At 50.3% G+C, this 24663-nt stretch overlaps 1 protein-coding gene and 1 long non-coding RNA gene across 3 annotated transcripts in view, besides 6 other annotated features; one reads left to right on the top strand and one right to left on the bottom strand.

Annotated features, from left to right (window-relative positions):
• The window catches only part of FAM53B (family with sequence similarity 53 member B), a 125087-nt gene that overhangs the window by 17449 nt on the left and 82975 nt on the right, over window positions 1-24663 (top strand). Inside the window, exon 2 of the mRNA NM_014661.4 lies at window positions 20043-20294. Within this exon, the coding sequence (NP_055476.3) occupies window positions 20217-20294 (78 nt within the window). The 5' untranslated portion in view covers window positions 20043-20216. The remainder of the gene's footprint in view (window positions 1-20042; window positions 20295-24663) is intronic.
• Window positions 1806-2772: an enhancer, noted in NCBI's record as "H3K4me1 hESC enhancer chr10:126412727-126413693 (GRCh37/hg19 assembly coordinates)". NCBI's record gives its function as "activates a minimal SCP1, AML or CMV promoter by ChIP-STARR-seq in naive H9 embryonic stem cells {active_cell/tissue: H9 hESC(naive)}" and the evidence as "EXISTENCE:reporter gene assay evidence [ECO:0000049][PMID:30033119]".
• Window positions 3042-3131: an enhancer, noted in NCBI's record as "active region_4181". NCBI's record gives its function as "activates an Ori minimal core promoter by ATAC-STARR-seq in GM12878 lymphoblastoid cells {active_cell/tissue: GM12878}" and the evidence as "EXISTENCE:reporter gene assay evidence [ECO:0000049][PMID:35858748]".
• Window positions 3182-3271: an enhancer, noted in NCBI's record as "active region_4180". NCBI's record gives its function as "activates an Ori minimal core promoter by ATAC-STARR-seq in GM12878 lymphoblastoid cells {active_cell/tissue: GM12878}" and the evidence as "EXISTENCE:reporter gene assay evidence [ECO:0000049][PMID:35858748]".
• Window positions 12156-22902, bottom strand: FAM53B-AS1 (FAM53B antisense RNA 1). Of its 2 annotated transcripts, NR_120630.1 has the most exons (3): window positions 22599-22902; window positions 18940-19079; window positions 12156-13496 (listed from the first exon to the last, which is right to left on the bottom strand). It is a non-coding gene; the product is annotated as an FAM53B antisense RNA 1 (long non-coding RNA). The 2 variants fall into 2 exon arrangements; NR_120631.1 differs by lacking the exon at window positions 18940-19079.
• Window positions 13936-14230: an enhancer, noted in NCBI's record as "tiled region #10105; HepG2 Activating DNase matched - State 5:Enh". NCBI's record gives its function as "activates a minimal TATA promoter and a strong SV40 promoter by Sharpr-MPRA in HepG2 cells {active_cell/tissue: HepG2}" and the evidence as "EXISTENCE:reporter gene assay evidence [ECO:0000049][PMID:27701403]".
• Window positions 17294-18012: an enhancer, noted in NCBI's record as "H3K27ac-H3K4me1 hESC enhancer chr10:126397487-126398205 (GRCh37/hg19 assembly coordinates)". NCBI's record gives its function as "activates a minimal SCP1, AML or CMV promoter by ChIP-STARR-seq in naive H9 embryonic stem cells {active_cell/tissue: H9 hESC(naive)}" and the evidence as "EXISTENCE:reporter gene assay evidence [ECO:0000049][PMID:30033119]".
• Window positions 21109-21700: an enhancer, noted in NCBI's record as "H3K27ac-H3K4me1 hESC enhancer chr10:126393799-126394390 (GRCh37/hg19 assembly coordinates)". NCBI's record gives its function as "activates a minimal SCP1, AML or CMV promoter by ChIP-STARR-seq in primed H9 embryonic stem cells {active_cell/tissue: H9 hESC(primed)}" and the evidence as "EXISTENCE:reporter gene assay evidence [ECO:0000049][PMID:30033119]".

Raw genomic sequence — 24663 nt, 5'->3', positions numbered from 1 at the left:
GGCAGCCTAGCTGCTGTGTACCAAGTAGATAACTTCTGGTGTTAGACGGAAATTTCTTAGGGTAGATGAAACATGTATCTCAGCTCTTTCTTTTGACAGAGACTCAATACAGCAAGTAGAAGTAAAGCAAAGATTTGCCAGATGGTAATTAGTATTTTTCAAAGAATTGAGGTGTTCTCTTCGTATTTCTTCAAATATCTAATAGCAATCCCTCCTATCATTTATCTTTTTCACTCAACCCTGTTTTTATCTCTTCGTATGGCAGCTGTTCTGTGACTTTTTGTTTCCTTCTGATTCTCACACGTATTTCACCGCATAGTCAACCTTTGGGATTCTTAGTGTCATTCCAAATGGTTTGCTGAATTTGAGAAATGTAGCTTGTCAATCCATTGCCTGAAAGCCCTTCCCATGCCTTTCCTTTGCAGCAGAAACATGGCATCCTCATCTGCCTCTTTCTCACCTACTGGTCAGGGCATTGTGCACCTGGGTGGTTGGTTCAGCCTCTGATTCTGCTAGGCCAAGGCTCTGACGATGCCACTGTTCTCCTTCAGTGCATTCTAGGGACTGTTGGAGCTCCTGAAGGCCAAGGATCATCTTGACCTAGATTTAGATTTCCAGGGCCTGGCCAGAGGACATGCTGGGGGTGGGTAGTAGGCCACCCATCCAATTCTGACCTCATGGCTTTTGCAAGAAACTCAACTTTTATGGATCCTGATTTTCTCATGTGCAAAATTGTCCTCCCAGTTACTAGGGTTCTAGGTACCAAATCCACTAAAAATGTGTTTTTCAAACTTTAGGAACCACCGGACTCAACCTGGAGGGCTTACTAGACACAGCTGCTGGGTCCCACCCTCATGCAGTTTGTCTGGGGTCGGGGACTGAAACTTTGCCTTCCTAATGAGTTCTCAGGCAATTCTCTACTGATCCGGGTCCACGCTTGGAGAACCAGTGCACATTGCTGAAGCAGGTGCCAGGTACCCCAGTGTTCCCCCCAGCAAGGATGTGGGTTGGCCTGTGTGGGTCTTGGCTGCCTGGCATATGAGGCTCGTCTTTCCTTTCATTTTCCCACTGCATCTTATTTTCTGGGAAACTTGAGACTAGATTCCCGGAGATGTTTTGTTTTCCGTTCAGCCATCTTCATGGAAGCTGTCCTCACACTCTCACCGTGATAGTTGGAGACACATTTATTTCCTACCTTTAGGTAATTCTATCACTAACACACACCATCCACTGTCCATCTCGGTTTCCACCCTCCACCTGGAACCCAGATACTAACGGAGGCAGCCTTGGCGATTTTGAGTTTTGAGCTTTTGGTTTCCCAGATAGGTTGATTTTACCCGTTCTCACCAAAGACAGGCCGCATTTGGGTCGAGCTGACAGAGCTGTCATGGACACAGCAGGTTACCCTGTACTCGGGAATGCTTCATGAAGCTTCCCACTCACTGCCGTCAGTCCAAGGCTGGGCGCCCTTTGTTTCAGGTGCCCTGAAATCAGTGTCTCCGTGCAGTGGTGGGAAATAGAGTGCTTAACCATGTCCAGAATCAACTGCTGTACCCTTTCTTTCCCTTCCCTGATGACACCTGAGCCCAGCCGGGGCTGCTGGAGGTGAGAGACCCTGGGACCCATCTGGGGAAGCAGGTGCAGAGCCAGGAAATGGTGCGTTGAAGTCCATACAGTCAGCCATGCTCACATCTAAGTGCTTAGTGGTGGTTTCCTCTCATTTGGGGGTTTTAGTTGTCCAGAGTGAACCTGAAATCACTGCTGGGTCTTGTGTCTTTAGCTCCAGATGTAGTCACTGGGAGGTGACGGGCAGGCTTTGGCTTTGCCTGGCCTTGAAGTTTTCCTCACAGTTTTGTTTTGTCAAGGAGTGTTCCCCCTTCTACTCTCGCTCCTCAGAAACAAGGGGACACTAACTCAGTCATGGCTTTGAATGGAGCGTTTCTGTGTGGTTTTCTCCTTGTCCCAGTACTCTGCCTTCTGCAGCTCCCAGCCCCCAGCAGCTGGGCACATTGGCCCTTGTGCTTTCATATCCACGAAAACACGTGGGAAGCGCGTGCCCAGCACATGCCTTGATCACATATTTGTAACTCGGGAGTCTGAGATGATCGTGACATTCTCGTATGGGGCTGTGTGTGGCCACTCCCATTCCCCAAGGGAGAACACAATTACTGTATTGTCTGTGGGCATTCTGGGCGAGCTGCTTGGGTCACGGCTGGGGCTGTTGGTATATTGGGGGATGGAAATAACCGTTTTGCAGCTTCCTACCTTTATGCTGCCATTTACAAAAGAGGGAGGTTTGGGACGACCTCTTAGAATCCCCTGGGTCACCTGGCTTTGTTCAGCTGAGTAAACCACCAGCCTGTGCCCCCCTACCCCGCCCCCATAGCTCAGCTTGTTTGCCTGCTATTCAGGCAGGACAGCTCTGGGAGGGCAGACCTCTGAGAGGTGGAGAGAAGCAGAGTGATGGGAGGCAGAGAGCAGGGTGGCGGCTTGTGGCTGTCCGGTGCGCAGAGCTCCCCCTGCCTGGGCCTTGTGAGGGCGCTGGCGCTGGCACTGGCCGATGTTGTGGCAGCTGACCTGTCTGGGCATCCTGAGGCTCCTTCCACCAAAAGCTGGGAAGGGGCCCTCCACTCCCAGCCCCGTCCCCCTAGCTTGCTGGAGTGTCAGACATGTCATTTAGCAGCATCCTAATAGAATACCCTCACCCCATCTCTGGCATTGAACTCCTGCCCAACACTCATGCCGCTTCCTCTAGGAAATCTCCCCAGATCTTTACCTCCCTACTTGGAATTCCAGGCTCACTTCTCTGCCCTTGTGGATTTATTATCGTATGACACACTATGCCTTGTGGGAAACCTAATTGAACACTTGCTGTTTGCGTGAACTTAGTTATGTATCACCTGCCTTCTTCCCTCAGTCCCTAGCACAGCCAGCCTAGTGCGTGTTGGACTTGGGACGAGACTGATACCGGGAGGAAATAATGCCCAGAGAGAAGCACAACACAGGGAGTACATGAGATTTGCCGGTTCAACTACAGTCACCTAGAAATACTTTTTGTTTCTGAGTAAAAGTCTGTTCTAAGGAGCGCAGCGTCACATGTGTATATAATCTTCCCATTGACCCATTTTGCTCTCTGTGGAGGCTCCCAGGACCTTGGCCCTCCCTGTCCCACTGGGGTTCCTGCAGAGGCCTGGGCTGTCCAGGCTCTGCCTGGCCCAGGGCCGGCCCTGCAAGTGCTGCCCGCCTCACATCAGGCCCTGACTGCAGCAAGACTCTTCCTCCTAAAAGCAGAACACAGAAAACAAAGCTGTTAGGGCAGGGCCCTGGGCTCTCAGTTTTCCCATGATTGGGTGTGAGAGGGCTGCTGGCCACCCTCCCGCCCACAGAAACTCTGATGAGTGTTTTCAGGTTCCTGAGGAGGTGTGAGTATGATCAGATACAGGGGTTTTTGTGCTGGTCACTGTGTTTTTCTGTTATGCTCTGCTACTGTGGAACCCAGAAAACTTTTGAGCCCAGCCCCTCCGTGAATCAGGAGGTGCTGTGCTTTGAATTAGTGTTAACAACATTTTGATAGCTATCGGAAACCCCCTGCAAGCAAGACAGATTTCAGTATCTCTGGCACCAAGAATGTTGAGACTTGACTTAACGTGGTGATTGTGTTCTTTGTTTCAGCAGACATTTCCTGAGCAGCTCTTTGTGCCAGGTTCTGGGGACTCAGGGGACTGAGGCTGGGCTCATGCCCTCCAGAAGCACACAGTCTGTAGGGGTGGCAGCTTGCTGGTTCATTTCATGGCCCTGTGATTCAAGCTCTGCATTCTGCACAGAGGCAGAGGGCGTGACCTGACTCAGTGTGGAGTGTGGAGGTCTTCCTGGAGGTGGTGACACCTGAGCTGAGTCTAAAAGATGAGGTTAGAGAGTCTGGAGGCTGAGAGGGCAGCAGGGAGCAGGGGAAGTGGGTGGCAAGTTCTAGCCTGAGAGACCAGCATGAGCAGAGGTCTGGAGGCAGGAAACTGCATGTGGTATTTGGAGAACTCCAGAATGTTTTAAGAATAGGCAGTACATGCATGTGTACAAACTCAGCAGTGAAAAGCAGTTTCCTCATCCCTGTCCCCAGCTACACGTCTCCCTCCTTCCTGGGGGGAGCTCCTGTTGTCATTTTCTTGTTTGTCCTCCCAGAGATATTCCATATGCATGTGCAAGAATATGCAGATATATACACACACAAATGTGTGTATAAAAATACAGTATTTTTTATATTTTTGATTTTAGAAAGTATTACCTATTTCTTGTGAAAGTCAATATCTCGTTTGGTTCAAAATTGAAAACATACAAAAAGCCATTTCTTGAAGAGTCTTCTCTCATCTCTGTTCCCGGCTACCCATTTCCGCTCCCTGAAGACAGGTTTTATGTTAAGTTTCCTTTGTATCCTTCCAGGACTTCTGTATTATTGGCACAATTATTTATTTAGTTTCACCCAAATGGGAGCTTAATATACCCACTGTTCTGATCTTTGCTTTTCTACTTAGCACTATACCTGAAGATGGTTTCCTCTTTGGATGTGTTGGGCTCCCAAAGCCTTCTTTTTTTTAATTTTTAAAATTAAAATTTAAATTGACACATAATTGTACTTATTTATGGGGTACATAGTGATGTTGCAACACATATAATGTATGATGATCGGCTCAGGGTGATTAGCATTTCCAACATCTCAAACGTTTATCATTTCTTTGTGTCAGGAGTGTTCAATATCTTTCTTCTAACTATTTGAAACTACATAATATTGTTAACTCTAGTCATCCTACAGTGCTATAGAACACTAGAACGTACTCCTTCTATCTGGCTGTAATTTTGTATCCTTTAACAAATCTCTTCCTGTTCCCCGCCTTCCCCCTACCCTTCCCAGCCTCTAGTCTCCTCTGTTCTGCTTTTTACTTCTATGAGATCAAAATTTTTTAAGCTTCCACATATTCTCGTAGCCTCTTAGAAAGCTGCGTTTCGTCCTTTGCATGGTGTTGCAGTGTGTATTTATCCTGTCCTTCCTGTTAGGCGGTTAGGCCACTTCCCATCTTGGCTGTGCCTAACGATACGATATGTACTATTTTGCTCATGAGTAGGACAGTCTGCAGGGCAGGCTGATTTGGCACTCACACACGTGTTCACAGGGAGAGTGAGTAAGGAGGATAGAACCGCACGAGGACACAGGCAGGTTATGTTTTACGCTCATCTCTCTAGAGGTTGACTTGTTCCCCCTTGTGAAAGGCAAGTGACTTTAAGTTGGATTCTGCTGAGTCTTGAGGAAGCTGTCTTACTCCTTTACTGTCTCCCATAAGTAAGCTCTGCAAAAGGAGACCTGGCCCAGTGTGGTCTCTGGAAGCAAGGTTCGCCCAGGGGTGTGGTTGGCGTCGCTTGGGGAGACTCCCTTACAGACTGTGACCTTCAGGCCATACCCTGCAGGACAAGGTCAGCTAGAACTGAAGCCTGCAGTGCGGCTCTGCCAGCCTTGTTTGCTGGGGCCTTGTGGATGTGGATGCCACCTCCGGCACTTGCTAGACTTGGGCCTCGTGAACATCACAGTTCTAGTCAGTAGTTTGTTGATTTATTAATAATTGAAGCGAGTAAGAGTCTGTCCAGGCAGGGGACCTGCCAGGATGTGGGAGGGAGAGACTGCAGGGTGACTTTGCACCCATCCCATGAAGGTTGTGATGCAGATTTCTGAACTTTATTTTTTGAGATGGATTCTTACTCTGTCCCCCAGGCTGGACTGCAGCGGCATGATCCAGACTCACTGCAACCTCCGCTTCTCGGACTCAAGCGATCTTCCCACCCCAACCTCCCGAGTAGCTGGGTCCACAGGCATGCACCACCATGCCCAGCTAATTTTTTTGTATTTTTGGTAGAGATGGGATTTTGCCATGTTTCCCAGGCTGGTTTTGAACTCCTGAGCTCAAGCCATCCGCCCGTCTTGGCCTCCCAAAGTGCTGGGATGACAGGTGTGAGCCACCGCACCCGGCCCAGATTTCTGAACTTTAGCGGTCCCAGTTATTTTATCATGCTATTTTTATCAAGATATTTTAATAATACCCTCTGCCTTTTAGTGCATTTTAATTTAGTTTTTATTTCACTCATCCATCAGTTGTTAATAGTTTTCACTTCCATGGGAGGGGACTGTGGCTTATGTATGTTCATGTCTTCAGCCCCTACCATCATCCCAGCAGTCACAAAGTAGTCACTCAGTAAGGGTTTGTTGAATGAATGAGTACAGTTGCCTGCCACGCAGGCTTTTGTCAGGACTGGTGGCATGCTGTTAACTGTTCATCCAGCACACTGGAAACTGGGTTTTGGTGCTTCAATGTCAACCTCTGACCAGTACTTGTTAAATTTCATCAATTCTGATCCCATCCAGTTATTCAGTCGGATAGGGTTTCTTTTTTTGTTTTTACATTTTATGACTTAAAAAAAAATTATTTTCGAAGCTAGGACCTCACTTTATTGCCCAGGCTGGAGGCAGTGGTGTGATCATGGCTGACTGCAGCCTTGGCTTGCCTAAGTGATTCTCTTGCTTCCGCCTCCTGAGTATCTGGGGCTGCAGGCACATGCCACCATGCCTGGCTAATTTATTTTTTGTCAAGACGAGGTCTCACTATATTGCCTAGGCTGGTATTATTATTATTTTTAAGTCTGAGAACATATCTATGCCACCTCCCTTGGGTCTGCTCCTGATCGAGGTGGCCAGTGTTGGTGGTTTGTTTGTTTTTTTTTTTTTTTTTAGATGAAGTCTCTCTTTTGTCACCCAGGCTGGAGTGCAATGGCGCGATCTCGGCTCACTGCAACCTCCACCTCCCAGGTTCAAGCAATTCTCCTGCCTCAGCCTCCCAAGTAGCTGGGATTACAGGCGCCCGCCACCACACCCTGCTAATTTTTGTATTTTTAGTAGAGACAGGGTTTCACCATATTGGCCAGGCTGGTCTCGAACTCCTTACCTCAGGTGATCTGCCTGCCTTGGCCTCCCAAAGTGCTGGGATTACAGGCGTGAGCCACTGTGCCCGGCCGTGTTGGTTTTTTGATGTGTAACTTTTCCTTCTCCTGCACATTTTTGAACTCCATCCAGATGACACTGGGGAAGAACCCCTTTCCACAGCGAGGTGAAGGCCAGTCCACATTTGGTTTGGGAGGTGCATGGAGGAGTGCTCAGAGGCCTGGCTTTAGAGTTTTGCTGCTGACTTAGTGAATGAGCTTCCTGAGAGCAAGGGAAGTACAACCAAGCCTGGTTCAGATGGCTCCACTAGGGGGACAGTGACAGCTATAGCCGCAGCTGGTGTACTTGGCAGTCTTTCAAGCATTTTGGGGTGTGCTGCGGACAAACAATAGAATGAATCTTTGTTTCTGGAGCCTGGGCCATTTCTAACGAGGAAGATGATTACTCATTTTTGGAAGTTGGGTTAACTCTTCCAGAGTCTTTTGACTCTCGCTTAGATCTGTAACGAAAAGCCGAGAAGAGTTCACCTTGGCATCCCAAGGTGTTTGCTTTAAAGCCGGGTGACTCTGGTTGGCTGTGTCATTTCCTCTTTAACACCCCTCCACCCAGGTCTTTGCCCTAAGTCAGGAGGCCTGATTGTCATATCCAGAGTGCTTAGAAGGAAGTGGGGCAAGTGTTTGCAAATGAGGTGCCCCTTTCTTCTCCTGTTCCCCCACCCCCATGGCATGCCAAAAAATAAAGAAGGAGCTCAAGACCCGTTGAGCAGCTGTTCCTCCAAACTTCTTAGATTAATTCCGTGGCCAGTTCTAAGTAATTTAAAGCCAAATGCCTGGACTTAGCTTTGAATTAGGACTTCATGAAGCCTTTCTTCGTCTTCTTCCTTCTTTCTTCTTCTTCTTTTTTTTTATTTTTTTTGTGAGACAGGATCTTTCTCTGTCACTTAAGCTGTAGTGAAGTGTTGCTATCATAGCTCACTGCAGCCTTGACCTTCCTGGCTCCCTACTCAGCCTCCTGTGTAGCTGGGACCACAGGTGTATGCCACCATACCTGGCTATTTTTTAAATTTTTTATAGAGATGGGGATTTCTCCATGTTGCCCAGCTGGTCTTGAACTCTTGGGCTCAAGCATTTCACCTGCGTCAGCCTGCCCAAGTGCAGGGATTATAGGCGTGAGCCACTGCGCCTGGCGGTGAAGCCCTTCTTTGCAGAAATCTCTTTCTCTGCCTTAAGAGGCAAGAATCTGGTGCTATTTTGATCTGTGAATAGACAGATGGCTGTTGTTACACATGCAGCGGCTCCCCCGCCATTGTGCTGTGGCTGGTGGTGGGAGTAGTCTTACTAGAATTTATCCTGCCCTCCAGAACCCTCCCCTGCAGTAGGAGTCAGGTAGATAGCTTTGGCTGTTTGACCTGAGAGGTGCCACAGAGCTCGGGTATACTTGTCATGTGACAGACCCGCCTGGCAGCTTAGAGTCCCTCCAGTTTTGTTTTGGCAGATGATGGCATTCTCGAATGTGTGGTGGAGCTTGCAGCGCGATGTGGGGGTAGAAGGGAGAAGGCGGAAGGCTTACCATGTGATTGATGAGCCTGTCTGATTAATTTCTACAACAGACCCTGTAGGTTGGTAGATATGACTCAGTCAGATCAGGAAGGGGGAAGTCCTGAAGTGTGAGCTGAGGTTAGGATGTGACCTCTGATGAGTGGGTGGCACATGGGCAACCTGGTGCCTCTCGTGCCTATAGCAGTTCTTACAGAGCTTGTTGGGACCTTCTTGCATCACCTGTCATGTCCCAGTGTGATATAGTCTTAGACCGGTGTGTTGGGGCTACCAGCCTGCAGGCCTCCTAGATAAAGAGATCACTGCCCTCGCAGCTGTGTTCCAAGGCCCAGCTGCTGAGAGATTACCTTCCCTCTGTGCAGTGTCTTTGGGGGTTCTGTGAGAGCTGTAGACACCAACAGGAATGCTTCTCCCTGCCTGCTGAGTGACTGGAGCTGCACCGGTAGGAAAGCTGTGTCTGTAGCCTGGGCTGGGGGTGGATTGTCCTGCAGGAGAGGGAGAGTCCGAGAGCTCATAAACATTTTGTAAAGGAAAAGGAGATTCTTGTCCTGAGAGTTGTCCTAGAAGATGAAGATGTCAAAACTGGTCACTGGCTAACTTCCTGGCTCTCCAAGAAACTCCTCTAAATCAGGTTGTTGTTAGCGTCACTGAAAGACACCAAGATGCCCCTGTATGCATAAGGATTGAGCTTGGAAAATGCAATCACGCATACATCCCCATCCTCACCCCATGGATATGTAAGAGAGGGGCAGGTTCTGCAACACCACCTCCCCGCTACCTCGGTCCCACCCATTGGAAGAGTCCCTGTGGCCTGCTCCGACTCTGCTTTATGGGAGGTCATAGCCAGGGCACTTTGATGGCAGCAAGTAAGGATTTGGCCTTTGCCTTTGTCCAGTTTCCTGGGACCTTGAACTGCAGGTCAGGTCTGAGTAGGACTGGAAAGGCCAGCATAGCAGTTGTTCCAGGACAGGCATCATCAGCTTACTGTCCTTTCTTATAGTTCATTCAGTACCTTCAAATCTATTGATTTTCATGCTCTCTCCAGAGTTGCCATTTGCCTGTGACACGTGAGGAAACTGAGGCCCAGAGAGTCATAAAGACCTGGCTGAAGCCACACAGCTGATACGTGACTACAGTTAGAGTCTCACTAGTCAGAAACGGAGCTTATCTGGCCCAGCATCCTATTTGACTCATGAGGGAACTGAGGCTCCGAGGAGGGAAATAACTTGGCAAACTGGGCAGAGCCAGTAAGTGGCACTGTCAAGCCCAGAGCCCCCATCCCCTAAGTCCTGCTTGATCCACCTAGGCCACACAGCCTTTTGTTTGGGTCTTTCCATTTTTGTTTTTAAATCTTTTTTTTCCACCCCTCTTCTGTTGGTTTTTAGTCATGGTTTGAGTAAATTCAGTATACTTATAAATAGGTCCGACTGAAGAACAGGTCATGGTTGTCTTAGGCTAAGTGGCTTAACATGATAGTAGATTATCTTTGGGGCCCGCTGCGGTCCCCTCATTGTCCTCTGGTTCTCTTCCCATTCTTTCCCTTCCCCCGGTTTGGAGCAGAAGGCGGCATCTAGCTCTGTGGCCACTCGGTAAGTGTGAGTTCTCCTCTCTCCGTGCCTCTTGTCCCTCGTCTCCTTCCTTTTGAGTGTGTCAAGCAGCTTCCAGTCTATAGCAAGCTCTTCTTTCATAGTGTTTGTGGGTTAAAAGGACATGAGCGGTCGTGAGAATTATGGGAGTGCCTATAGGAAGCTCGTCCATCAGTTATTTTTCATTGATAAATGGACTCTTGACAAGTCATGCATGCAGTTGGCTTCAGTTTCAAGAAACAACATGGGCTGTCTCATTCCCATGTTGAGATTTGTTTTGGCTTTTTGGATCCCAGCACTTTTATGTCCCTGAATAATGTCATTCCTCCCCCTCCTCTTGAAATGTTATTTGCTTTAAAAAGCAGAAAATCCCTACAACATTGAAAAGTCCAGGAGAACAGAGTTCCGATTTGGTTCAGCAGCTCAGTTTACTGTTTTGTCTTGTTTTGTTTTTCCCCCTTCCATTAAGGAGACACATAGGCGAGCCTGGGCCACTTTGTTCAGCCAGGGGCCCAGGTCAAGTCTCTTTCAAGCTGTGTAGTGTGACTCCCAGTCCTTCCCCAAGTGTGGCCTTCGGTGGCCTTTGATTACCTGAAGGACTAGATCAGGGAATATGTTTTAGCCCCAGTTACTGAAGAAAGCACCTCTGAGGACACACCTTCCTGTGGAGGGAGGGATGAGGAAGGGGTGAGTATGCCCTCTCTGTCTAAGGACAGCAGGTGCTTCATGCGTACAGCCAGCCACTCTCACTTGCCCTGCTGAATGTCCACCAGCCCAGTTGCAGGAGCAAGGTGCTTGGAGGACTCAAAAACATATTCTTGGCCCCTAGAAGCTAATGCTGTAGCTGTGAAGACGAGATGCTTTTATCCAATTTATGAGCATTTAATAAGGGCCTATGCCCTGCTAGGAATTGTGCCTACCTAGGGATTTCAGTGTTTCTAGGGATATTTTTGTAGTGCCCCCACCTACAGGGCGTTACCTCCTTAACTTATAGCTGAGGCGGGCAGCACAAGGGTAACGTCTTACATGTTACAAAGGCAGAAAGCTGAGCAAAGTTGCAGAGCTTAGCCAGGGCCCTGCAGCTCCTCTGGGACTGAGCTGGGCTGAGCGTGGACTCAAGTTCAGTGCTCTTGCTGTGATACTGACTTAGCAGATAGACATCAGTCAGGTTGCTGCCGTGGGCAGGCTCTGTGCTGAGGCCACAGGATGACTGAGGGAGGGCAACACCTAGGCTGCACACGTGGAGGGGGGGCTCCCCACAAACAACCTGGAAATGAACTTTGAGAGAAGGACAGGGTGGCAGTGGGGGAGGCATAGGCAGGAGGCACAGGACCTGAGGAGATAGGGACAGATGGATACAGGTTCCAGCTGGGGTTGCAAGAAGCCATTGTGACTCCCTGCAGGCCCAGGAGCACCCTGAGCTTCCTGGAAGACACTTCACCCTCTGCAGGTTACCCACCATGTCTGCACATCCATGCAGTTAAGGAGGGAAAGTGATGGCTTCCTGTCCCGCTTCTACCCTCTCCAAGATACTCGTCATCTGCCCATTTTTCTTGCTTACAGTGGAACCCCTAATACCATGTTTCAACATCAGTTCCAGAAGGTTGATGTTTGGCTGGGACACCTCAGGATGGGCTGTATTAGAGAGTGTGTGTATTGCAAAATTAGTGTCTGCTTTGGCATTTGATCATTTAGCTGACAAATCAAGTACTTAAAGGATAATTAACAATGAAACTTACAGGTCTTGGAGTAGTGGGGTCCAGGGGTTAAGACAGACTTTGGAGTTCTGTAGATGTGGGTTGAGTCTTTGTGCCTTGTTCACAACTAGGTGACCTTAGACCTGGGCCTCACTTTCCCCCTCTGTAAAATGGGATAACAGTAGTACCCTCTGATAGGGATACTCTGAGGTTGCAGTAAGCACAGGGCCTGGCACTGTTGCTTTGGCTAATATTTTCCTCATGCTGCTTTAAAAGGTAGGCTCTGTGTCACCTGTTACTTCTGCACTAGCAAAGTACTGATGAAAGAGGTTTTCTTTTTTTTTTTTTTTTTTTTTGAGGTGGAGTCTCGCTCTGTCACCCAGGCTGGAGTGCAGTGGCACGATCTTGGCTCACTGCAAGCTCTGCCTCCCGGGTTCCCGCCATTCTCCTGCCTCAGCCTCCCGAGTAGCTGGGACTACAGGCGTGCGCCACCACACCCGGCTAATTCTTTGTATTTTTAGTAGAGAGGGGTTTCACCGTGTTAGCCAGGATGGTCTCGATCTCCTGACCTTGTGATCCGCCTGCCTCAGCCTCCCAAAGTGCTGGGATTACAGGCGTGAGCCACCACGCCCGGCAAGAGGTTTTCTTTGCCTCTTTTTTTCTGTGTGTTGAGGGTGGTGCTGGCAGGATTGTTAGTTGTTTCTCAGCAGGACCTGAAGACATGGGAACCCTGGCTGTGGGAGTCGTTGAAATGTTCACTATAGTATAGAAGCTGCACATTCGTGGGTCCTGAACTCTGGTTGAAACACCAGACTCTCTTTCCAGTATCAACTTGGTCTGGGAAAGTAGAGGCCCTGGATAAAGTTCTTAGGCAGCTTTCAACTTTTATCCTTTAGACTCAGATGACTTAGTTAGTATATAAAATCAGCAAGCAGAAGCGTCCCCAAGCAGATTAAATCCCTTTGTCTTGGCGGATATGAAGCTTGACTGCAGCATTCGGCTCCCCTCGGAACCCTTCTCGCACTTTAGGGTTGTCACAGAATTTGGCAGGAGACAACGTGACCCACTAAGCAACACCCTTCCCCAAATGTTCATATACTTGCTTCTGGATTCTGCCCACAGATTGCTTTTGTCACACCAACAACTGAAGCTACGAAAGTTTCAAAGTGCACAAAGACCTTGTGGAATTGCTGTCTTCCCCTCCTATTTCCTTTGCTTAATGGGAGGGGGAAATGGAAGCTCTGAGAGCAATGACTTCCGGGAGCCACCAGGAAAATCACTGTCAGTGGCTGAGTTCTCATGTTTAGGTTTTGATCTGAGTCCTGTTTTTAAGGCGGTAAAATTAACTGTGAAACTAATGTGTGCAAGTAGTACGTACAGGCTAAATAAAGACACTAAAAGAAGGAAAAGCTTGTCTTGCTGATTTCCAGTTTCTTTTAAGGGATAGCCCTTCAAAATGCATTACAGAGCATTTGGTAAACTTCTAATCTTCTTAAGATTTATATAGGATTGTAGAGTTTGCAACACTTTCTTGTATGTATTAATTCATTAGCATGCAATCCTCTTTTGAAGTGGATGAGCCAGGTGGGGCTCCCACTTGCTGGAAGCTGAGAGTCCCAGGCCACAGTGATATCAGATAGCTGTGTTCAGCGGTTGCAAACAAATGAAGACACATTGAAGACTGTAGAACAAAAGCAAGAAAATTTCATGTTAGCAAGGCCTTGTGTGAGAGCAAAGCTGTCCCCCCTGTTTCTGTGGTGTCAGAGACAGAGTGGCCTGGGGAGGAAGGCCTGGGTTTGAATCCTGGTCTTGCCCCTGCTAGATGTATGATATTGGGCAAATGACTTGATTTCTTTTCTTGGAGCCTCAGTCTTCCCATCTGGAAAATGTGCATACTACCAACCATAATGCCTGTTCATAGGAACGTGAGAGGATTAGCTGAGAAGGACCCAGCCTCTGGTGGATGCCCAGGGAGATGGGAATGGAGGTGAGGGTGGAGGGCTGTGGCTGGAAGTGTGGCTGTGTGGGGCACATGGGGGTGGAGATGGGCTCTGGGCATGGGGCGTCTTGCTGACCACGGCAGCAGCCACCTGTGTGTGTGCCCTCCCACCCATAGGCCTTGCTTTGGGCACAATGCTGGCAAGTTTGGGGCCGTTCTTGGGCAGATGCACTCTTGGGGTGAGGACTTGGGAGGTGGGCAGGGGCCCCCTGCCACCGTGTCTGCACCCAGGGAGCATAAACATGGATCAATGGGAAGTCTGACCTTGCCTTTTGCTCTTTTCAGTGGAAATCCTGGTGAAGATGAGTCATTGAGTAGGGGCTCCTGGGGTTGAGTCAGAGAGCACTGTGTCTCCATGATCAGGTTGGGGTGCCAGCCAAGGGGAGACCCTCACCTAGCCCTCCTTTGGCAGATATTGGGTAGCCCTAGCTGTGTATGGAAGCAGGCTGGAGGCCCACTATCATGAGCACTGCCCAGGGAGTCACGGGAGAGAGGTGGGAGGTGAATGTGGGGACTGGGAAGTGACAATACAAGACTTAAATACAGGGCAAGGAAAACTGCAGCCGAGATGCAAGGATGGTGCCCGATGAGAGTGCGGCCCACGATTGCTACTTGTGCAAAGGGGAATGGACACCAATGCCTGGCCTTCTCTGTGCCGAGCTTTTTTATATGTGTTTTCTTATTTAAATCTTACAGCAGCCCCAGGGCAAAGGTATTATCCTCATTGTGTTTAATTACTTAATAATAATAATTATTTTTTGAGACAGGGTATTGCTCTGTGGCCCAGGCTGGAGTACAGTGGTGTAATCTCGGCTCACTGCAGCCTCTGTCTCCCAGGTTCAAGTGTTTCCTGCGCCTCAGCCTCCTGAGTAGCTGGGATCACAGGCATGCACCACCATGCCAAGCTAATTTTTGCATTTTTTAGTAGAGTTGGGGTTTCACCGTGTTGGCCAGGCTGGTCTTGAACTCCTGACTTCAAGTGATCCACTGACGTCAGTCTCCCGTAGTGCTGGGATTACAGGCATGACCCACTGCACCCAGCTTAATTATTTCTTTTGATATAAGGTCTCCCTCTATCACCAGGCTGGAGTGCAGTAGCATGATCATAGCTCATTTCAACTTCAAACTCCTGGGCTCAAGCCATCTTGCCTCAGACTTCTGAGTACCTGCGACTACAGGCATACACTCCCACGCCTGGCTATTTTTTTTTTTTAGTTTTTATTTTTTGTAGAGATGGAGTCTTGCTGTGTTGCCTAGGCTGGTCTTGAACTCCTGGTCTCAAGCAGTCCTTTTGCCTCAACCTCTCAAATGCTGGGATCACTGGTGCGAGCCACTGTGACCAGCCTCAGCCCCATTTTAAAGATGAGGAAACTGAAGTCGAGTGATTTCATGGCGAAGGCCAGGGCCGCTAAATTCCACACACACGTTCCTCCCCTTCCCGCGCACACGGTCTCCCTGGTATAATCAGTGGGCTTTAAAAAAAGTTTTAAAAACTTATATATAGCATAATACACTCTTTTGGTGGTTAGTGCTATGAATTTTGATAAATGCATAGATTGGGATTTATTTAAAATTTTTTTTTTGAGATCATTTACACTCATGCAGTTACAGGAAATAATACAGAGAAATCTCGCATATCCCTTACTCGCTGTCCCCTAATGGTAAATCCTACCAAACTAATGCAGCATCACAAGCAGAAAATTGTCACGGATACAGTCAAGACACAGAACATGTCTGTCTCCAAGGATCCCTCCCGCTGTCTTTTCATAGCCACGCCCATTTCCCTCCTGCTCCCACGCCCCATCCCCAACCCCTGACAGCCATTCATCTCTTCACTAATTCTATAATTTTGCCATTTTAAGAAAGGGATATAAATGGACTCCTAGAATAGTGAGCCTTTGGGGACTGGCTCTTTCACTCTGCATGAGTCTCTGGAGGCTCATCCAGGTTGTGGCGTGTGTCTCTGGTTGGTTCCTTCTTATTGCCGAGTAGTATTCCACAGTGTGGCTGTGCCCTGCCACATTTTGTCTAATTGTTCACCCAGCAAAGCGTCTGTGGAGTATTTCCTGGTTTTGGCTGTTATGAATAAAGGGCTGTTACAAACATTTGTGTGTGAACATAAATCTTAATCTCTCTGGAATAAATGCTAAGGAGAACTCTTGCTGGTAGTTGTTTGAATGGGCATTTGAAGGGGTTTTTTAGGGGATGGAGAGGTGAGGCATGGTGGGAAGTGCAGTCCTGAATGCTGGCCCACCAGGGTTCAAATCCCAGCTTTGAACCCGGACCCTGGGTGAGTTGCTGTATATGGCTGTAAAATGGGGATAATTCAATCTGGCTTGTGGCTAATGTGTGTAAAGCGCCTGGTACCTAGTAGGTGCTCAGTAGATAGAAGTGATTCTTGATATAGGTTAAGAGAAAACCCACTAGACCATGGCAGGGTGTGTGCCCCAGAGGTGGCCTGTGGGAGGGCTTTGCGAGGCTTCCACCTCGCGCCCTGTGGGATCACCCAGTTATTGTCTTTTTCTTGGCCATGCCCCCGGCTTCTCTTTGAGAAGACCCTGACCCTGTTTGCAGACTGGGCTCGAAGTCTCCGGCCTGGTCCTGGCATTCCCCAGTGAAGTTGGCCGGGCCAGGGCCCACGGGTCATAGGAATCCCAGGAAATTCCAGATCGTGCTGGGCTCTGCTGGTCTGGATTCGCCTCACAAATTCTGAGAACGTGCCCAGATCATTTCACATGTTGCTGTAATTTAGCTGGATTCTGGAAATGTGTATTGAGCTGCTAGGGTATGTGAGGGATCGTGGTAGGTGTTGCAAAGGGTTCAGAAAAAATTGCTCTCCCAACAGATCAAAGCAGCCAGCTCCAGCTTCTAACCTCCTTTGGGAGCCCCCACAGCTGCAGTGATAAGGTCTCCATTGAGTATGGCATTCAGAGCCCTGGGTCTGGTTTGAGTCTCTCTCTAGCTCCCATCCTGCTGCTGTGCCCTCTGCGTGCCCTGTGTGCCAGCCACCAGCACGCTCACCGTTCCCATACTCCAAGTCCGACCCGGCGGCCACGCCTTGCTTACACCCTTCCCTCTGCCTGGGTGCCCTGCCCTTCCTGATGAAATCTTGCCTGTTTTTTAAGAACTAAAAGTACCATGGGCAGGCGTGGGATGGAATATTCAAACCTCACATAGGGTTGGACGTGGTTCCTCTCCGGAACTGTCATTCCCTTCTCCAGGCAACCACTGTGTGGGACCATGCTGGACTCCTTCTATTTTTTTTTTTTTTTCTTTTTTTGAGGCAGAGACTCACTCTGTCACTCAGGCTAGTGGACTCGCTCTTCTTGCCTTTGTCACTTTATAGGATTTCTTGGAGATTGTTTCATATCTGTACAGTTTGAACTGGCTCATTAAAATATTTTTGAAGGCCACATGGTATTCCCTTATGTAACAACACCGTAATGTATTTAACCAGTTTGCCCTGCTTGTAGGCAGCTAGGTTGTCCCCACTCTTGGGCTCTTACGGTGCAAAGGAGTCACTTTAAGGCCTACCTCCGATGAATGTCCCCCTTTCTGCCTGCCTCTGAAATGTGTTGGCTGGGTCACTGCACTCTCTGTGAGACCCCCCAGGGCAGGGATTGTGCTACACCTGCCTTCTCCTTTCCATGCCTGCCACGTGTGCTGACCACCCAGTTACCCAGGCGCTTTTGGTGCTTCTGCTGCCTCTCTGAGCCCTGGCCCCTTGTCGGGACTCTGCTGGGGATGGAGCTAGAGAGAGCTGGGGTGCCCCGTCTTTGCCTCGTTCTGGCTTCCTGCTTCATGCAGAGCTGTGTCTGGATGGGCTAATGTGTTCCCATGGCGACAGACTTCCACAGTTTCATTCTACTGGCCGCCTCCTACTTCACCAGAGGGATGGGCCATCATATAGCCAGGCCCTTGTTAATGGAATTTAGCTTGTTTCCCTTTAAACACATTTGAGAGGATGGCCGCTTGGGCGTCCATTGCCGAGAGGAGGATCTGGACTCCCAGCCTCCCCCATGAAACTGCTAGCAGTAGCTGCTGCTGATTGAGCACTCTCCTGGATGAGCGAGACACTGGGCAAAGGACTTGGGCTCTGTTTTCATCAGATACAGTAACCTTGTGAGGCAAGCACTGTTTTCCCTGTTGTACAGAGAGGGAAACTGAGGCTCTGAGAGTAACTTGGCAAAGGCCACTCAAACAATGTATTTCAAGAGCTGGGATTCCAACTCAGTTGTGCTTGACTCAGGACCTGAGCCTCTGTAGCTACTGAGCCCACCTGGCTTCCTAGAGAGAGGCTGGAAATGGGGGAGGAGGGAACAGGCAGCTCACCTCTCAGGCCTTGTGCCGACGGCTGGCTGCCGTAGAGCTGAATTGGGGCTCACACACAGAAACATGACGGCTGCCATTAGGCTTCCACCACTGAGGAGGCACAAAAGGCCCCTTTGAAAGGCGAGTCCAGGAGCACCTCTCTGGCCTGCTCCTGAGCTAAGCCTGCAGTGGGGGCTGACAGGCATTTCTGGCTCAGCTGCCTGGCCAGAACTTGCAGGAGTGGTCTGAAATTCTTTCCTTGAACAGATCACACTTGGTCAGAACATGTCACTTCTAGATCGATGTGGTATTGAACCTGTGCATCAGGTCTCTCAATGCGACCTGGGAATCTTCAGGCTCCCCGGGGCTCCCTTCCTGAACATGTATTGATTTCCCTCCTCCCCTTCCCTGCTTTTGCACTTTGGATGAACCTTGTTTTCGAAGAACAGTAGAAGGTAATTTTCCTGTGCTTGCCAGCTGGCCTGTAATTGAGCAATTTCAGTAACACCCACTGTAAAGTCTAATTGAAGTAAACAGGAAAACATGATTTACAATCTGGACAGCAAGTAAATACCAGGGTGCAATTAATTTTTACACAGAGCAGCAGATTCTAAAACATTTTCCTGTGTTGAGCAGTTTGTTTCTGATTACAGATTGGAAGCTGCTTTTCTATTTAATACTGTTATCATGATTATTTTTTACTTTTTGATGGTGATCTTCAGGTTCCTTGTATCTGTGTGACTTTCTTTGAAGGTTTAGCCACATGGGGAAATAGAATCAGAGACATGAGTTTATAAGGAGGGATTTTTCAAACCTGAACTGAAGGCCGCACTCTTTCTTCATTTGTTTGGTGGGAAATGATGGTGGGTTATCGGAGAGGGGCTGCGGATAGGCTGTGCAGAATGGCGATGCTGAGTGGGTCCCATCACTGCTGGAAGCTCAGTTTAGTTCATTCTGGGGAAGATGACAAAACTGTGAAGGCCTCCAGTGTTGCAAAGATGTTGATGTTGAAATGTGGCACTTCCAAGGACCAGAAATGTATGCCTTTTTTTGGGGGCGGGGTGGGGACGGAGTTTCACTCTTGTTGCCCCAACCTGGAGTGCCGTGGTGCAATCTTGGCTCACTGCAACCTCTGCCTCCCAGGTTCAAGCGATTCTCCTGCCTCAGCCTTACATGTAGCTGCAATTATAGGTGCACGCCACCAAGCCCAGCTAATTTTTTGTATTTTTAGTAGAGATGGGGTTTCACCATGTTGACCGGGCTGGTCTCGAACTCCTGACCTCAGGTGATCCACCTGCCTAAGCTTCCTGAAGTGCTGGGATTACAGGCATGAGCCACCGTGCCTGGCCAAATGTATGCCTTTTTAAATGGACCCTACTGATTGTTCCATTAGCTTCTGTTCATAACTGGTTGGAGAAGGGAGCCAGCATGCTGACTGCTGGTCCCTTGCTGCCAGTTGGCTGCCTGAGGGCCGACCCCTTTGGTGTTGGATGCGGGGCTGAGGCATGTTCTGACCCTTGGCCTACTTTAATGTATCCTGGTGTGTGCTGAAGCTGCCTGTAGAGCCAGCTTAGTGGTAAGATGTCACATGACTTGAGTATGCTGCAGGGACAGCAGATTGTTAGCCACCCAGACCCTGAGATAGATCTTAAAGGTATCATGCGGCTGGACCCCAATTTGTTGTTCTATCCACCAGGCCATTTTACAAGTGAGGCAGCCCAAGGCTGGCATGGCAGGGGTGGGCGGGGGGACTCTGAGAAGGTAACTCTGGGCCTTGGTGACTCTCCCAGAGTGCATCTCCTTTAGCAGAGAGGTGGTTCCAGTCCCCTGGGATTTCCAGTACTGTGGGAGGGGTGACTCTCAGGGCCCTCGTCTTTCTTAGTCCTGAATCTTTTTGCTTTTCTTTTGTCTTTCCAGGGAGTTGACCACATTTGGCCATTTCCCAGAAGGGCCCCACCCCAAGGGTGAGTGGCCAATGGGGAGCTGTTTCTGCTGACATCAATTCCCCAGGAGGTACTCACCCCAAGTCTGCCCAAGTGAAGATGGCTGATACCCACCCTGGGATGGAGCCCAGCGCCTGAGGCCCTTATCATGGTGATGGTCCTAAGTGAAAGCCTCAGCACCCGGGGAGCTGACTCCATTGCATGTGGGACCTTCAGCCGTGAACTGGTGAGGACCTGGCAGGCTTCCTGCTTTCCATGACCATTTCTGAGGCCTGATGTACAGACAGGGCTGTGGACTGAGCACCTAAGCTTAGCAAATCGAGTCCAGAGTCCCCAAGAGCAAAGCTCTGTGAGGCGTCCCGGGCTGGGGCAACAGGGCACAGGAGCAGAGCTTGACTGAGAACTTGCTGGAAGGAAGGAACTCAGCTCAGATTTGAGGTCATCTGGTGAATGAGGAGGGGAGGCCATCCCCTGGTAAATAACAGCAAGTGTGATTCTGCCGCCTGCCAAGCCAGGATTGACATTCCTTCTGTCTCCACCCATTAAGGGGGGGTGGTTTCCAGAGGGGGTTGGTGCCCTGAATGGAGGCCCAGATAAGCCTGTCCCTCTGAAGGGTGGTGCTGCCTCAGGAACGTCGAGAGTGGGAGATGATGGGGAAAGAAGGTGTGGTGAGCTATGGCAACAGCCACCCTCTGCCAAAGGTGGTTCACCCTGGACCACCCTGGACCACTTGGTGGACTAGCGCAGAGAGGTAGCTAACTCGGCCTTCTTAGACTACGAGCAAAACAACCTCCAGTAGCTGAACCCTGTCAGCAGACCTGTCCTTCCAAGCCCAGTTCCTCAGATGTGAGTGCAGGCTGCTCCCCTGTGGAGGGAGCGAGAAGCCACACTCAGTCATAAGCAGTCTTGTGGAGATGGGCAAGTCCTCAGAACTCTCTGCAGCTTCCGTGATCAGGAAGGGGCCAACTGCCCAGGGTCACCTTGCCCAGGACCCCTCCTGGCGCCCTTCACGGCTCCTCGTGAGGACCCACGCCAAGCCTCCTTGGTGGGCCCCTTCCCCTAGCTCATGCCAGTGAAACCAGACCTTGAGCAGATAGACCTAGGTCTCTGGCTGTGGCAGGAGCTTGGGAAAGCCACCGAGATCTGTATTCTTTCCGCAGGCCTCACAGAGCGCCTTCCGTGTGTTGGGCACCAGGCTGGAGGAGTTCAGGGAACAGGATGAGCTGGAGCCAGGCCCTGTACTCCTCACCCTTGAGAAGCTCGTGGTCTAGAGGGAGGGTGTCTGGAGAGCTGTGAATACAGTGACACTTGAGGATCCCATGACTAAGAACTCGCAGCTGAAGCCCATGGGAAGCCCAGGGCTTGTAGAGGAGCAGGGCCAGCCTGGCTGTAGCACGCCAGGGAAAGCCTTGCGGAGCAGGGATACTTGATTTGGCCTTGAAGGGTGAGAAGAAGTGGCTTAGAAACCGTTGGGTCCAGCCTCCTTGTTTTACAAATGAGGCAGCTGCAACCTGGAGCAGGCAGTAACTGCCTCACTGGCTCCGCCTCCGCCTTCCCTCCTGCCCCTCTAGCCCCACTTCCTGGGCCTGCATTCAGGCCTCTGCCTGTTGCCTGGTGTCTGGACGCCAGTCTTGGTGGCCCTCCCTCAGTCAGGTCTCTTCAGCCCTTACCAGATGTGACACTGGTGCCACTCTGCTCATGGGCCTCAGCCTGTGAGGTCTCCATGGGGTGTCACCCCCAGCTGCAAGGATAGGGACTCAGCTTTGCTCCTCCCCATGTCCCCAGCACTACTGAGGCAGGGCAGACAGCAGGCACCTGAGGTGTGTTTGCTCGATGGCAGCCTTGGTCACTGCAGCGAGGAGTAGAGCTGCTGTGACCATTCAGCTCTTCTGCTACCACCCCATCCTTTCCAGTTCACATTTGCTGTGTGATGTGATTACTTCTCACCAGCCCCGCTGCCACCACCCTGGTTCCACCTGCTGTTCTCTCGCAAGGATTCTTGTGGTAACTGGTCCCCTGCCTCTGGCTCTTTTTAACCTGTTCTCCACCCAGCAGCCAGAGAGAATCCCAGTCAGAGCTGTCCTTCTCTGTGTAGCAGCTTCCACTGGCTTTACACTGAATGCTTAGCAAACACCCAGCCCTTACTAGGATGTACATGGCCCCATATATTCTTGTCCATGTGACTGCTTTGACCTCATCTCTGCCACTCTGCCCCCTCTGCTCGGTCCCCACTGGCCTCCCTATTCCAATATGCCAAGCGTGAGCCTGCCTCAGGCCTTTGCACTTTTTCCTTGGCCTGGAGCCCTCTCCCCACAGTAGGACATACTCCCTCCCTCCTTCCTTCTCTGGCTACTCAACCTACAGTTCAGTCCCAGCGCCAGCGCCCACCCCTTACCCCCACCACACTTTCTCTCCTCTTTTCCTTTTTCCCTCTTGGGCACTTAGCACTTTTAAACATGTCCCTGTGGATCTTGACCGAGTCCTTATACTAGAATGGGAGCTTTGAGAAAGCAGAGGATGTCTCTCTTACTTGTTGTTGAATGCACGGGGCCCAGCCCGTGGCAGGTGCTCAGTGGATGTTTGTGGATGGATGAGCTTGCAGGTTCCTGTCACCTGGCCTCTTCTCATTCACCATTGTCTTACTCTCTCTCTGGCTGCTGCTCCAGTTCACGACTGAGTGGGTGCGACTAGAGTAGCTCTGACCAAAAAGAAGGGACCTCAAGGGTGAGGAGCCATCTGGAGGTCCCGAGGGAGGAGCCCTACCCGGGTCCAGCTGTGCAGTTGGCTGCAGTGGCCGCCTCTGTGCTTGGTCCCTTCTCAGGGTGGGACTGCCTGGTGTTGGCTTCAGAGTTGGTTCCAGGACATGTGGGCCCAAGGTCAGCTGAGCTGCTCTTCCAAGAGGTGTGGCCTGAGCCCCTGCCAGGAGGAGCACGGCCTCCCAGCCCTGGCCAGGGAAGGAAAACTCATCTCAGAAAGGGAAAGCAGTCAGGGGAGAGCAGGCGGCTTTGCTGGAAGGGATTCTACCATGTGTTCTCTTGTGGCCACACAGATTAGAATCTGTGCTTTCTTCCTGAACTCTCCTTGCTTTGTTGGAAAGTATCCTTCTTTCTGCTGCTTTTTGTTACTGGCCTGTCCGGGCCCAGAACCACCCAGTGTGCAGTGCTTTGGGTCCATCTGTGGTCTTCCTCCTCCTCTTCTCTCCCCTTGGCTCCAGATGAGAGGTCTGTTGTGGGGAGCAGCCCTGTTGGAGATGGGCTTTCTCATTGCTCAGTTTGCTTATGCGCCCAGAACACATTGACTGGGCGTCAGTGCCTGGCCCGGCCTGGCTCAGCGCTGCCTGCGCTATAGCGTGGGCCAGCAGGAAGGTGTTGGAGGTGCAGCTACACTGAGGGTCTTGGGAAGTGTGTTAGTTCATATCATGTTGCTATGAGGAATACCTGAGGCTGGGTAATTTATAAAGAAAAGAGATTTACTTGGCTTATGGTTCTGCAGGCTGTATAAGAAGTATGGCACCGGCCAGGCATGGTGGCTCACGCCGGTAATCCCAGCACTTTGGGAGGCTGAAGAGGGCGGATCACGAGGTCAGGAGATCAAGACCATCCTGGCTAATATGGTGAAGCCCCGTCTCTGCTAAAAATACAAAAAATTAGCTGAGTGTGGTGGCAGGCGGGCGCCTGTAGTCCCAGCTACTTGGGAGGCTGAGGCAGGAGAATGGCTCGAACCTGGGAGGCGGAGCTTGCAGTGAGCCGATATCACAGCACTACCGCACTCCAGCCTGGGCGACAGAGTGAGACTGTGTCTCCAAAAAAAAAAGTATGGCACCTGCATCTGTTTCTAGTAAGGCCTCACGAAGCTTCCAGTCATGGCAGAAGGTGAGGGGAGAATAAGTGTGTCACGAGGTGAGAGAGGGAGCAAGAGGGAAGGGAGGAGGTGCCAGACCTGTTAAACTACCAGCCCTCACATGAACTAGAAGAGCGAGGACTCCCTGATCACCATGGGGAGGCCACCAAGCCATTCATGAGGGATCCGCTCCCATGACCCAAACACCCCCCACCAGGCCCCGCCTCCAGCATTGGGGGTTACATTTCAACATGAGATTTGGAGGGGACGAACATCCAAACTGTATGCCCAGAGGTCCAGGTACCTCCTCCCTGTCCTTGAGCCTCATGCCACCTGCTGAGGGGCAGGGGTGCACCCATTTCTACCCCATTATACAGGAAGGAAACTGTGGCTCAGAGAGCCCAGGGAGGGGCTGCCCTGGTCACAGATTTCAAGTCCAGGCCCTTGTCTGCTTCCCCCAGCACCTTCTCGCATGGGCCCTGTTCCAGAGGCTGTGATCGCCTTGGAGCCCCTCCAGGCCTTGGGGAGAGACACACGATGTAAATAACTGAAGAAATACTGAAAATAATCTTAGTCTAGTGATGACATCCACGGGACAGAATGTGAGATAAGCTGATGCTAGCATTTGCTTTGAACAGCCAGCAAAGGTTCAGAGGAAGTTGACGGGGTTTTGCTTTAGCTTCCTAAACTGGTAACATCATCCCCGTGTAAATACCATCAAGATAACAACAGGAACGATGGAAAATAATTTTTCT

The sequence above is a fragment of the Homo sapiens genome, chromosome 10, assembly GCF_000001405.40.
Source record: "Homo sapiens chromosome 10, GRCh38.p14 Primary Assembly".
In the NCBI taxonomy this organism is placed as follows: domain Eukaryota; kingdom Metazoa; phylum Chordata; class Mammalia; order Primates; family Hominidae; genus Homo; species Homo sapiens.
The sequence above is the reverse complement of the archived record's forward strand: the minus strand, read 5'-3'. Positions and strand labels throughout refer to the sequence as shown.